The sequence below is a fragment of the Homo sapiens genome, chromosome 3, assembly GCF_000001405.40.
Source record: "Homo sapiens chromosome 3, GRCh38.p14 Primary Assembly".
Classification (NCBI taxonomy): Eukaryota; Metazoa; Chordata; class Mammalia; order Primates; family Hominidae; genus Homo; species Homo sapiens.
Window position 1 is genome coordinate 144,238,260 of NC_000003.12, and position 15,441 is coordinate 144,253,700.

The 15,441-nt window shown below is 36.6% G+C and overlaps 1 long non-coding RNA gene across 2 annotated transcripts in view; it reads left to right on the forward strand.

The window, feature by feature from the left end:
* The window catches only part of LOC105374140 (uncharacterized), a 266,957-nt gene that overhangs the window by 20,266 nt on the left and 231,250 nt on the right, over positions 1-15,441 (forward strand). For both annotated transcript variants that reach the window (XR_007096124.1, XR_001740941.2), the window contains exon 2: positions 957-1,008. This is a non-coding gene — a long non-coding RNA (uncharacterized LOC105374140). The remainder of the gene's footprint in view (positions 1-956; positions 1,009-15,441) is intronic.

The window sequence follows — 15,441 nt, forward strand, 5'->3', positions numbered from 1 at the left end:
TTTCCTCTACCTTTACGATTTTTTTTTTTTTTGAGATGGAGTCTTGCTTTATAGCCCAGGCTGGAATGAGTGGCACGATTTCAGCTCACTGCAATTTCCATCTCCCGGGTTCAAGTGATTCTAGTGCCCCAGCCTCCCGAGTAGCTGGGATTACAGGTGTGACCACCATGCCTGCCATATATATATATATGTGTGTGTGTGTGTATATATATATATATGTATATATATATGTGTGTATATATATATATGTATATATATATGTGTGTATATATATATATGTATATATATATGTGTATATATGTATATATATGTGTATATATATGTATATATGTATATATATATGTATATATGTATATATATGTATATATATATACGTGTATATATACATATATATATATATATATATATTTTTTTTTTTTAATAGAGATGAGGTTTCACCATGTTGGCCAGGCTGGTCTCAAGCTGCTGGTCGCAAGTGATCTGCCTGCCTCAGCCTCCCAAAGTACTCGGATTACAAGCATGAGCCACTGTGCCTGGCCTTTTTCCTCTTCCTTTAAAATGTTTTCTCTTCCTGAGAGCATCCTAGCAGAGACCACAGCAGGGCCACCTCACCAGTTTACCAGGGATGCCCAAACCAGTTTGAAACTAGCATTAGGCATATTTATGCTCAAGTTGAGGAGGTTTTGTGTCCCTTTGATACATTCCGAATCAATCTATTTATGGGAAGAGGTGAGACTCTATACAGTACAACTGTAAAGCAACTTCATTTTCTCTCTATCTGCCTCTTTTAACCTGCTCAGGGCAATAGTTCTTTTCCACTCTTTCCTCTAGGTTGCCAGCAGGTAGGGAGGAGAGGTAAGGGCTGAGAAAGTTTGTTTTTGGCTGGTACTAAGGAAATCTGGTATTTGTTTCTCTTGACCTTGGCAGGTATTTAAAGCTGAAATTTTGTCTTGCAGGAGCACCTGTGGGCATCTTTCCTCAACGCCCGGACTACAAATCTCTAACACGGTGAGAACCTCTCCTGCGAATGGTTGTTTACTTATGCCCTGTGTTCCTTCTGCCAAAATAGCCCTACTTCTGGCTTGGTGCCCAAGGAGCCAGCCCTTTAGTGGGTTCCACATTTGGATTTGGACACAAACACACACACACACACACACACACACACACACACGCACCGCTTTGATCTGCTGTCAGTGTTTTGTTGGAAATCAGAAAATAATACCCCCAGATGAGGGCCTTAGAAACAGCCTCAGAAGCAAAATATTTTCTCTGATCTCCTTCTGTTCATCTGCCTCTCAGTCCCATTCTCCCATGAAACGAGCTGTAGAAGCTAGAACCTGTCTTCCTCAAGGCTAGTCATAGAAACTAGAACTCCTTTTCCCCCAAATCAGTCATAAAACCTAAAAATATCACCCTAACTTCCCTTCTACGTTTCTGTGTAAAAACTGGCCATAAAGAAAATTATCTGACTTACCTTATTTGATTTTAGATCATAAGACCCTCATTCCAGAGAAAATGCTGCCCCATTCCCAGAAGGCCAAGAAGAATCTAGCCAGACAGGCCATCCTGGGTTTCCCCACTCAATCTGTTAGATCTTACTCTTTTTATCCAATCATATTTCTACATGGCTGTCCATACTTTGTTGTACCTAAGTATAAAAATGGACAATTTCCCCTGCAACTTTGGGACTTCATTTTGAAGGCTGCTGTACACACATTAATTATAATTTTTATGCCTTTTTTTTCCAATTAATCTGCCTTCATGAGTTGATTTTTCAGCAAACCTTTTGAGGGAAAAGGAGAAGCTTTCCCTTCACCCCTACAGTTCCCAGTTACTGCCTCTTTATTATTGTCACAGAGGGTTTTAGCTAGTACCATTTCAAAACTGAGACACCATTTTACTGTAAAACCTAAATTCCGAAGGGCTACTTTGAATAGTCCCCAGGAAGTGCCTCTTCTCATGTGACTGAGGCCAGAGAAAAAGATTCTACTCTCTTCCCCTCTTGTTCCCTCCACAAGGTGGGCAATGGTATAGGTAGAATGGAAAGGATATGTGAGGGAAACTGCTGCAGCATATTGATGATTTTCTCCACTGAGACTCTTCTGTATTCTTGTAATCCCTCAAAGTGTGTTTGGCTGGCAATTGCAGAGCATGTTTTTGGGCTCTCCTTTTTCAAGCCTTTCATAAATGGTCTAGTGCCCTTATATTTTTGGAATGTGGAGATACCTGCAATGTACTGTTGGCATCTCTTATTGTTAAATCTAGAATTTTAGGCTCTTTGAAGTGAGAGATCTGAATGTCTCACTCATTTCAAAAATGAGAAAGTCAAGTCTGAGAGAAGCAAAACAAATTTTCCAAGATCATGTACAGCTTTTTGCTATAAAAACCCTAAAGCTATGTACAATATGTGCTAATAACCTATATTTTCTCAAATTTACCAACTTTAAAATGGCATAATTAAAAATAGAAGGTCAAGGGTTACTGTAAAGGTTAAAAAAGTTAATGTGTGAAAAACTTTTAGCAGAACTTGGCACAGAGAGAACACTCTTCTACCTCTCCTTCTTTCTCCAAAGGTCTGTGTGGCCAATATTGAGAATACAAGCAAACAGAACTAAAAGTACCATCCATCACCAATCAATTTGGCAAAAATTATCTTTAAAGTTATAAGTCCTCATATTTTCAAAGAATGAGTTGTAGAAACCTTCCTTCCCTGCTGGTGGACGTCCAAATGGCAGCCTGATTTCTGCTCTGTCTATAACATCAAACAATTTAAGAAAAAGTTATATGTTCTAAAATAAGGGAAGGTTTTAAGGTAAAATTGACCATCCGTACAATGAAACATTATATGACCACTAAAAATGCATGGACAAATATAAAAAAATCATTAAATGAACAAAAGCAATTTTCAAAACTGTGGTATAGTATGGCATTAATTTTGAAAACAAAAAAAAAGAGATTTTGTATATTTTATTGCTGGAAGGATAAACCTAAGGTTATGAACTCCAGAGGTCATCTTCAGGTAGCAGGCTATTAGTGACTTTTATTTTTATTCTTATCTGTGCTTCTCAAACTTTGTACAATAAACATTTTTTTCTTAAAATGAAAAAAAGTATTGAGTGGAAGGTGATTGTGAAGTTGAAGAATAGTGCTAAACTTTAGCATGGCTCTTTCATCAGAATTATGCTCTGTTGGCCAGAGGAAGGCCTAACTCCACGGATGTGTGGAAGGCTATGCTCACTGTGTGATACTCTGCCCGGGAGCAATGGTGAAAATGTTGAGAATAAGAGATTCTTTTCAGCAGGAGCAGCTGTTCCGTCTGAGCATGAGCCTCCAGGGCTTCATAACATGCTCTGGAAACTGTTGTGTAAAGACAATAAATCTGACAAGAGAAATAAAGGAATGCTTTAAGTCAGTGAAACAGTTGGCAATGGTTGCTTATCTGGAGAGGTTGATGAGAAATAATAGACTCTCCACTCATTTTATTTTTCTTTAAAGATAGTAGGATAGAAAATGAGTTATGATGTTACAGGAAAATTGATGGGCGAGTGGACCAAGTCCATGCACTGTTTCCTTGATCTATAAGGGTAGAGAATGTCTCTCTCATGGGGGAGAACTTTCCCCTTGTTTTATTAGAAAAGCATGCAAACTATATAACCAGCAAATGTTCAAATATTCACATAATGGCTGTCAGATGAGTTCAGTGAGCTATCTAACAATTTAGCAAGTTTGGTACTTCACTTTACTGAAGGCAGGGATAAAATTTCTATATTATATTGAATTTAAACATTGCTCACACTAAGAAAATAATGAAGGATCAATGACAATTGAATTTCAAGGTATTTCTTTCAAACAAACAGTAGTTGAAAAGTTGAATTTGTAATTAAAATAAATATTCAAAACTCAGTACAAAAATTAAAGCTATTTACATACAGAAATAATTTATTTTTATTTGGCCTTTACATATGTGTGTGGGGGGATGTTCTTTTGGGGAGAAAAGGGAAGATGGTTATCTGCTGTTTCATATAATCCTATGGAAATAAAAAATGACACACTATATTTAAGCTCTGGTTATAATAAAATATAACTCTAGATATCACTTAGATGAATATGCTCTTCCAAATATGAAAACACTTGGCTCAAAAACTAGATTGTCAGATGGCTTCAATTGAGAGAAATCATGTCAGACATGTAATGTTTTATTAGGGTGTTTGGGGTAACCCCTGTGGTTATGACCTATGAATTGAGGTGATCACAGGTCTTGCAGACATGAAAGATTGGTATATTGGATCATTATGAGAGAGGTTTAGACTTCAGCTCTCTTGCAATATATTCTTATTTATAATGACTTAAATTGAGTAATTGTATCTACAGTATACAGATCTCTCATTTGTTAAAAGATTCATCACACAAAGGTTCCTGTTGAGTTCTGTTGCAAGAACCAATGTTTTACCAGTGCAGAGACAAGTGTATGCTCAATATTTTCTGTCTTGACCATGGCAATTAACTGCTGGTCTGTTGTCAAGTATAGGTCATAGCAGTGTCAGTATAAAGCAAGATTGTAACATGAATTCTACCCTGGAAAAAGCAATCCAAACAGGAAAAGGACATAGCAATGAGAAAGGCAGTGGAGAAATCCACATCTTTGCCAAGGGCAGTGTTTTTCTCAACCAGAGAAAAGATCCAGAACAATTGTCAAAGGAACACTATGGTTGGGAAGGAGAAAAGCAATAGAACAACTTGGCAGGCAATGATCACAATTGATTTGATGATATTTAAGTGGACACGTAACTATTAAAATGACACCTCATTCAGAAACTTATCGAGATTCAGGCTTAAAGGCCAGGAAACTGCAAAGCTGTGATAAAGCTTTCACTACCAATAATTGCCCTGCTTTCAGCTAAAAGGCTGAAAGTGCATCAACATTTCAGTTATTGGGTTTAATTTGTTAATATGCTTTCCAGACAAAAAGGCTTTTAAAGAATTCAGAACAATCTACAAGTTTTCTTCTTATAATACCTTGCTTTAACCAATTTCAGATATAGAAAATTGAAATAATGTCCCCCATTAAATTCTCATTAATATTATCCTGACTTAGGGCATTCTATTGTTTTGGACACTTGGCACAGGAAATAAATGTGTTGACCACTGACCTATTACAATGAGGGTCAGATATACTTAAAGTTGACAATACTTTAGTTCCTATAGATTTATGTTCACATTTAGGGTGATGAAATATTAATTAGACCCCCTTATCTCATGAAATGCTAGAGGAAAAATAGTAATTTTAAATGGTATTCATAGCTTCAACCGCGATGTAACTTATCAAAGACATCAATAATATATCAAAGAATTGAATATTAAAATAGTATTTTGTCCCTACAGAAAAGAAAACCTGTATTAAAAGCTTTGTAAATGTTTTAATTCTGCAAAAAAAAAATTCTTTGAGCCCTCAAGGAGAAAGAAGTTACAAAAAGACAAAGTATTTTTGATAACCATAGCCCATTTAAGGTCTATTAATGTACACCTGGTTAGTAATAAAATGTAAAAGTATTAATTTTGGTGAACTGCATGAGTTTTTGATATATCCTTAAGACTTTTTCCTTTGGTTATAAAAAGTGTGTTTGATAGTGGAAGAAAATTTTCTGCCACAATATATTCCTATCACTGAGACATAAATGGATGTTTTCAAGGTTTGAATTGAAAAATATGTTAATTCTCCAAGCTTTCAGATTTCAGGGAAGATTGTTATTGCCCAGAGAAGAACAAAGAAACTATTAGATTTTTTACACTCTTAAAAACTCAAAACTGTTCCATCATTCAGATAAAGTCAGGGACTTCATATTCTCTGATGGAATGTTTTCACAGATAGATTATTCGTTTTTTTTAAAAAGCCTTACCAGGTGCTATGTTTTATAGTATTGTATGTGTTTTGACATGTGGTTAAGCTAATAAAGGGAGTTAAGGTGAGATGTAAATTTTCTCATTAATTTTTAAAATATAATTTCAGCACATTATTTCTTTAAATTTGAACACTCCCAAGTGATTTACAATGTCCTGGCATATTAAGATTATTATGCTTTCAAAACATAATACATAGGCTGTGTAATAACATCAGATATGAAGGGCTTATTGACATTGATGTATCTGTGTTTCATAGTAAACAGTGGGTAAAATAATACCTGGAGGCTTGTAAATCTGTGTTTTTGTTCTCATGAGAAGCAGATTGTGAGGTGGAGAATTGTGTGCAGGAAGTTTAACAGGGAGTGAGTTCAAAAACAATACTTGTGGAAGAAGAAGGAAGCAGGATTGTCAGCATGAGAAAATGGGCTTCAAGGTAGATACATCAAAGCTCTCAGATGATTCCACAACTCTGCAGGAGGAAAGGAATGGATCTACCAGGGTTATCCTGAATTGGGACAATGGGACTGGTCCCTCGTATCCAGACATCAGCCAGGTAGAGGATGTAGGCCCAGAAGCGGAGGTGCAATTGTTCATGAAGTGGCTCTTTTCAGCCCAGGGCAAGCTCCAGAAGAAATCTAGGTTGGGAGCAATCTTTCTTGCAGGTTCTGGGGTAATTAGTGCTTCAGTCGTGAAGGGGGTGCTGGGGGCAGTGTGCTGCAAGGATAGTCTAACTCTTGTGTTATTTGGTGTGACTTACTTGGCAACAGAATGGGAACAGCTCCTTCAAGACAATGGGGTAAGCCTCTTTCACTCAGGGGAAGCTTACAAGAAGAAGGTTAGAAAATTAAGCTTCAGGCCCATTGCCATCCTTTTCTACTATCAGCTAACACTTCTGCTCTTCTAGGTGGCTTACTGGGTGGGGTAGTCTAGACCCTTATCTTTGAGTCCTTAGTTATGCTGCTTTTAGGCATGGTTGTTGCACTTGTTTATTTACTGTCAAAATTTCAGAAGAGAGTACAGAGACTATCCAGTGAATCTGTGTGGCCGAATATGTTTTTCTGACCCTATTATAGCAGCTTTAACCCCTTTGGATCATTTGAATTAATTACTCTTGCCAGTAAGGAGCTCTTTTCATTGCCTGCTGGTCTCTTGGCACATGATACTTGAAGTGACTGAGCAAAAGCTGTAGTTAAAACTTGAATGTCCTTTTACCGTGTTCCTGGTGAAAATGTTACTCCACTGGGAACCAGAAATTTTTTTCCCAATATATACCTTAGCTATGCTTTCATTAGGCTCTTCCATTGCTCTATCAGACTGACAGCTTCTAGGTGGTACCAGTAGGTCCCCTGATTTTACGTCTATTGCTACACCTCCTTTGCTACAGAACTGGTTCCTCTGATCTGAGGTGATATGTGTGAGTCCAGGGTCAATGAACCAAATATTTTAAGCTTTAGATAGTGATGCCAAATGAAGCCTTGAGGACAGAAGAGGCAAACCCATACCCAAAATATGTATTGATTCCAGTCAAGCTGGATGATTCATTGCCTTTTACAGAGTAGAATGTGGTCCGTGTAGTACAGTTGTTACTAAATGGCCGATTGGGATAAAGGGATGATGTCTTTTTGTGGACCCAGTTTGGGTCTCTGTTGCCAACATGTTGGACATTCAGGAGGGAAAATAGCTAGACAAGCCTTGGTGAGCTGGGCTCCATGCTGTTGGGCCTATCCATAACTTCCTTTCTTGCCACTCTGACTTACTGAACATATTTTTTTGAGCTATGTCTGTACACTTATCATCCCAGAGGCAGGCACTTTTCAGTTGACCAAACCATTCCGTCTGTTTTGTTATTTATTGCCTCTTCCAAGGAGGTTAATTTTGATGAGCACTAGCATGTAATACAAAAATATAAGGATCTTCACATAGGCTCATTCACATTCCTTTTTCCTAGAATTACTTGTCTTTGATACTTCAGTATTTCTCTTTTTCAGACTTCTGACCAACCAACTGAGCTGTTTGCCTCTTTCAGTGAATTTGTAAATATTCTGACCTTGGCACATTCATTTTTCAATAAAAGTAGATAATCACTAAATGCACTGTCCTAATTCTGTACTTTAGGAAGATTTACGCCACTGCTGTCTGGCTAGCCTGATGAGGACTGATGTGTAGTTACAGTTTATGAAAATACTCTACATGTCTACATGATGGTTCACCTATTGGGAATTGCTACAATCTCTAAATTGGTTCTTTTCCCATTACAGATATTTTTAGTATCATAGGGCACTCCAGATTGTGTGGTCCAATTGATAAAGCCACTGGTAGCATCACCTACAAGTCTTTTCCTGCTCCGAGCCCCATTAAAGGCTGGCAGCCTTCATTTCAACTGGTAAATGGATCAGAGGTGCTTCCAGGTGTAGATTATGTTGCCTCCAGAATGTGAAGATTTCTATCAGATGTTGTGGGGTTTTTTTTTGGTGGGAGTTGAAAGATGTTATAATTTATTCTTACTTTGTAAGAAACATCACAGAATATCCCAGAGCACAGGAAACAAAAACTTTATTAATGAGGCAGAGTTCTGCAACTTTGTACAGTCCATCTCCAATCTTCTGGACGATGTGTGTCTTACTAAGGCCACCAATTCAGTTGCTATTTCCTGCTCATTAGTCTAAGTAGCATGATGTCATCTATAGAGTAGACTAATAAGTTCTTTACAGTATTACAATGGTTCAGGTGTCTTTGGACTATATTATGTCAGATGAGAAAAGGATTAACATATTCCTGAAGCAAGCATATAAATATATACTGTTGTCACTATCACATGAATGTTTCTAATCTTCCATTCTTATAGCAATGAAAAAGAATATATTTATCAAATCAATGGTTGAGTATTATGTACCCAAGCATGCACTGATCCTCTCTAGAAAAGATTACATATTTGTCACAGCACCCTCCAGTTATTCTACAACTAGGTTGAGTTTTTGGTAGGGTGGGGTAGTGTCATTCAGGATCTATGTGGGCCAGATAATAGCCCAGAGAGTTATGAGAGGGATGAGCACACTGAATTTTTTAGGTCATTAAGTGTGGCACTAATCTTTCTCCCTAGAATGTGATAGTCTTCTTGATTTATAGTAGGAAGTTTCAGAGATTTCCACCTCGTATTTTTCATTATAAGAGTTTATCTCAATATCCAGAAACCAATATCGGGGTTCTGACAATTACTAAGTATGTATATTCCAATCATACTCTGTTGATCATTGAAGTCACCACTGGGTATGTTCATGAACACTATGGACCCAAAGGGAACTTACCTAGGGGCAGTGTCTCATTTGCTAAGTAGTCCCCATAAGTCTTATTATAACAGAGATTAGAAAAGTACCTAGTTGAGATTTAATCCTCACAAAAAAATTATTGAAAGAATGAATGGACTTCTTTTTATCTGCTTCATATTTCCATAATCGTCTGTATTATATGTTTATCATTTTGCTTCTCTGTTTGTCTATATGCACTGCTTGAGTGTAAGCTCCATGAAGATATAAAATTTATGTTATCATTATTGTATTCCAGCTTTTAAGAATAGTACCAATCACATGTTGGGCACTTAATATCTGGTAAATAAATAAATGAGTTGAACATATGGAATTCCATTATACACATAATTTTTGAATCCTAATTGTGATATTTTATTATAAGGCATCATAAAGTTTTAAAATAGCTGCATAATATTCAATTGTAAACATGTATAACAATTAAGGACTCTGTTTCCTTATTTCTATAGTTTTCTTTTGTTGATAGAGAAACTACTGTACTGAGAAATTTGCTGAGAATCTGAAACTACCAAAGGAATTAATGGCAGCCAGAAAAAAAATCATATTTTATTGGGACTAATGAACCATTTACTTAGAATTATAGGCTCAGAGAAAGGTAAAACTGGAAAGGAACATAACAGTTAGTACTTTCCCCTTCTCATTTTATATATGAAACCAATATGCATGATTGACTTTCCCAAGGAGAATCAATGAAGACTGCCTGAAAAGCTACATACATATTTCATAGATAAACTCAAAACCATGTGACTTCAAACTCAGCTACAAATTTATCCAATGACTAACAGTAGGATAATTCATGATAAATATTTTAGCCACACTCTATACAATTCAAGCCATTTGACTCCCAGGAATGCTGTCTTAATTAAAATTGTTTTGATTGGAAGCAAAAGAAATTAACTTGAGCTACCTTAAACACAAACAATATGAAAGAAAAGAGTTTATAAATGGAAAGAAACCAGGAATGTTGACTGGCTGTAGCTATTGTTTTGGGCTGCCCAGCAAGAATTCTTCCACTCTCCATTTTCAAGTTATAAGTTTTCTGTCTCACTCTTCCACTCAGGACTATGAGGTGGATACAGAATTCATTCTTGGCCAGTCAGTGACTATTCTCCTAAACACATTTATTGGTTCAGTGTCTATCAAATGATCTTAGCAGGTCAATCAGAATACTCATCTTAAACTGATAACCCAGATGTCAGAAAAGAGGTTCCGTTGTTGCTAAGGTTGCTCAGCTAGAAGGGTTTATATCTGGTACCATCAACAGCCATTTTCCCCATCAGACAGAAGGAGCCAGGCAGCAGAATAAAACCAGGCAGAGATGAAAGCAGAAACAGAGAGGGCATCTTTGCCATTACTAGGTTCTAAATTCTAGTCCTCCTAGGCATTGGTTCCTACTGTCCTTCAATTTCCTTCCTTCTTTCTTTCCTTCCTTCCTTCCTTCCTTCCTTCCTTCCTTCCTTCCTTCCTTCCCCCTCCCTCCCTCCCTTCCTTCCTTTCTCTCTCTCTCATTCTTTCTCTCTCTCTTTCTTTCTTTCTTCTTTCTCTCCTTCTCTCTCTCTTTCTCTCTCTCCTTCCTTCCTTCCTTCCTCTCTCTCTCTTTCTTTCTCTCTTTCTTTCTTTCTTCTCTCTTTCTCTCCTTCTCTCTCTCTCTTTCTCTCTTTCTCTCCTTCCTTCCTTCCTTCCTTCCCTCCTTCTTTCTTTTCTTGTCATTTTTTTTTATACAGAATCTCACACTGCCACTGAGACTTGAGTACATTCCATTAACACGGCTCACTGAAACCTTAACCTCCTGGGCTCAAGCAATCTTTCTGCCTCAGCCTCCCTAGTAGCTGGGACTACAGGTGTGTGCCACCATGCCCAGCTAATTTGTCATTTTTTTGGAGAGATGGGGTTTCACCATGTTGCCCAGTCTTATTCTCTATGTTTCTCTCAAATATATGAACCAACACTTTTTTTGCTTAAGCTAATTTTTGTTGTTTCAATTATTTGCAACCTAAAGAATTCTGACTGTGGTTAAATACAGTAAGGAAGGAAAAAAAGGAATACTAACTATTAAACTGAGGTAAGTTACAGAACCCAAGTGCTACTGCACTCCAGCCTGGTGACAGAGCGAGATTCTGTCAAAAAAAAAAAAAGAAAAAAAAAAAAAGATAACCCAAAAGTAAATAGGTATTTCAAGGATCTGAAATCTGCACATGGACAGCTTCAGAAATTTAAAGAGTATTGTATATTTCTCTCTGTATTCCTTTCAAGTATTTTCTTCAGTCTTTGTATGTTTTCATTCTTCTTTTTCAAGATATTGTTTACTTCCTTTCCCATGCACATGTCAGGTGGAGATGAGTGGTTCACTTCTCTTAAATTTATATCACCTTTGTACAAATTTTGGGGGAAGAGAGAATTAGGCCTAGCTGGGATCAGGGGCTTATCTAATTCCAATCATCTGTGACCAGGGTTGCAGGGTCTCATATTATAAGCGTGACTAGTGAAGTCCTTCCCTCATGGATGGAACTAGTTTCCAGAAGGAGAAATCTACTGTAGGCTGACAGCACCCAAACACTGACTGTAGCTATTTTATTCAGGTGTCCTTAGTCTCTCTTCTGAGTATAGATCTTGAATATTATAGGAAATTATGAATTGAAATTTTTCTTAATATTTTTCAGGTTTACCAACTTGGATACAGAAAGTTGGAGTATAAATATGAATCCTATTTTACTTAAATAGTATTCTAATCACTTTGTGTGCAGCAATGTCTTATGTCATTATGGAAAAAAAATTTGTTGATTCTTCAGTTCTTTTCATAAAGCGATGCTCAAAGTGGATTCTCTCTTGTAAATGAAAGAAAAATACACTAAAGTTTATCTATGTAGTGATTAAGCTAGTATATTTAGCCGGTATGATGGAAAATACTCTTCAAAATTCTTGACACTCAGTTTTTCATCCTGAAAACCATACCATTCTGAATAAACCAGGGAGCCTTTTACCTAAGGTTTCCTTCATGAACAATTCCTATTTTTTCTCTAAGCTACTCACTATTTTCTCTCTAAGCTACTCCAATCTTTGCTATCAGTAATGGGTTTAAGTGAAAACAGAAAGAAACATGTAAGCTGGGCCAGCAGTTTACAGAGTGTCACTATATTCTGTTTTCTGTTTTTCATTTTTCCTTTGGCCTAACATTTACTCTTACCTTATCCTAACTTCCAGTCCTTATCCCTGCAGTAAAAGTAAGATACCAAACATGACTGTGGACAATTTCTTTTTCCAAAAGAGAGTAAAACACCCTGATTTTGTCAAACAAAAGCCCTAAGCATTGAGCTGGCCAGTTATTTAGCTGCTCTAGTACTGGATTCATATGTGTGGAGAATATCAGTGCAGCTCCCTGTGAAGGGATGGGAATGAGTCTCCATGAGAGTAGAAGAGATGACAAATTTCTGTGCTAATTACTTTCCATTCGATTCTTACCCTACCTCACATCATTTTAAAAGAAAATCTTATGATGCTAACCCTGGTGTTGGAGCCACAGCTGAAGCTTGACAAGAACAGTGTGGTATTTTCTAACATGGATCAACATGGTTTGCAGAATAAAGAACATTTGTAAAACATACTGGAGTGTGTAGAGCACACCATCACATGGGGGCTAGGGGAGGGAAGTAGAAGTCTGGGGAGTTGGGGAAATGGAATCATCTAGCTGCTTAAGGTAAGGTCACAGGTGACATTTCTTGTACAAAATGTATCTCGTATTAAAGGAAGGAGAGAACAAAAATGTAATAGGGAGAAGAGATGCTGCTGGTAGGAATGGTTGCAGTTGGCCAGTCTGTTCTGTCTAAATTGTGGGACAGAGTAATGAATCCAATTGCAAGAATGAAGAAGTGTTGATTTTTCTTTCTAGGAAAACAGTCTCCCGTTTTTATGGCCATGATATATCACTGAATTTTCAAAGTGGAACTTAGATGACTATGGAAAGAAGAAAATAGGAAGATCAATGTTGGAAACCTACTTTGAGATGTTTCCTGTTCTGGTAGCATTCCACTTTATACATGTCATAGCAAATTATTTTCTCTCAAGATTTTCCTTTCAGTGTGAGATCACTCTCTTTACCCAGACTTTCTAGAATTTGACTGAAGCTGACTGGAATATACCAAATTATAGCCTTCTACGGTTTTTTTTCATTTTGTATTAGATTATTTTGCCTATCATTTCTGCCATTCCTAGGTATATTCCTTTTGTGTCTCATGAAATATTCTTCTAGTCACAAATTTTATTTTTGTTGAAATATTTGAATGTGAATTTTGTGAATTCTTGATAACTTACACTAAGGCTTTACCTATATACTTTTTCATGCTTCTATACTTTATTCAATCTCCCCTTTTAATAAGTCCCCAAATTGGATTATTAGTATTCTTTTCATGCTTTTCTTCACATAACACAGTAACCTTTCCTGGTATAATTTAAGCTAATATAATAACCACAAATATCAATGATATGAATGGATTTTACTCTTACCTGATAAACAGACATTGCTCAAAGGGTTTTATAGTTATTCCTTGGTGATTTCACTTAAGGATAATGGTTTAATTAATGACGCTTCATTATTAGTATTTATTTACATTTCCCATGTATTTTAAAAATTTTTTTCAGCTTGATTCTGAGAATTATGTTACACATCTTATGGTTAGAGAAACTGAGACAAGTTCATAATTAGTAAAGATTCTCGTTTCTCATAAAACTGCTAGTACGATTGCAGAGATATGGCTTTTCCAAGCCTATTCTATTGTGACCGAACTTTCTACTCACCTGAAGAGACCCCAGTGAGTACTCCACAACTTTTGGCATTGCTTTAAATCGATTGCCTTTATGAACAAGGTTGTCCTTACTTCTCATCCCTGTGGCATAATTAAAACAAACTGTGTACATACTTAATATTACTATATTATGTATTATGCATATATCATATATACTTCTGTTTACTATATTAAAACCAACTCAGAATTTTAAAAATGCTTTCATATTATTAACTGATTGAGAATTTAAAATCAAATGCATCTGCAACTAACTTATGTATTTGTGTGGAAAGACATCACCACAAGCAAAGGCTTTCCCATTTGCCATCCACACTCATCTGACCAGTCATTATGGTCTTGTTTTGTCATCTGGAATTTAAAGAGAACTGCTGCACCTGTAACTCTTCTAGGCAACCTAGTTGACAAAAGCCATAAGAGCTAAGGAACTCGGGCAGTTGTAAAGCAAGCAACTTCTTCCAGCCACCTCAGTAGTGCATCCCATTTCTTTTCCCTCACACTGACCTAAAATCAGTGAGCCTCCTGCTAGATCATTCTGGTAGTGCATACATTTCAAGGTCTCTGTTTCCTACAATGCAGAAGCCCTATAAAGCTACAGAGCCATTTCCCCCAGGGAGGCCTAGAGAAGGAGACCCAATCAGGGGGACCTAATATAAATAGCTGGAGTCCTAGGTTTGTTTATTTCCCGACTACCTCTCTGAATTTCTCCTTTAATATCCACTGACCTCAATAAGAACTTGCACAATTGGAATTTTGATAAGATCTCACCACTTCAAATCCTGCTGTAGGGAAAAAAAGAGTCCAGATCAATCGTGCTGGGGCAGTTTGGGGCTATAAATCGTACCAGACATGTCAGTTGTATCATCACCCATTATTCTGTTCCTGCTTTTGCCAGAAAACCTGGTTGTTTTCTAAGTGGCTTGCTTTATCATAAATATTCTGATTTTATGTAGGATTTTTGTTTGTGGCAATATTTTCTTTTCATGTAGGAAATAGTAACATAACAAAGATAACACTGTATTCTATGAGGGATGTTTTAGAAAAGATAACCTGTCTGTGTGTGCACATTCATGCAAATTTTCTTCCCTGGAGGAGCCATTCAAACATAGGATTTTGGATAGATTATTTTGTCATTTCCTTATTCTCTAGGATCATACTAATTATAATTTAAGCTTCTTCATGTTTGTTTACTTTTATATTTTTAATGTGATGTTTCTGGTTTTGAGGGGCATGGCATTGGATCATTAGAAATTATTGCAAAACTTCAGGAAGCAAATAATTTTTTTCTTTCTTTCTACCCTTAGAATATATTTACCTTTAAGTAGATTTAAGAGAGAGTTTTATTTATCTCTAGTAAATCAACTTTATCTTCTTAATCTAAGTCTATATTTTTTATCTATTTGATTCATCAATTTCTTTTA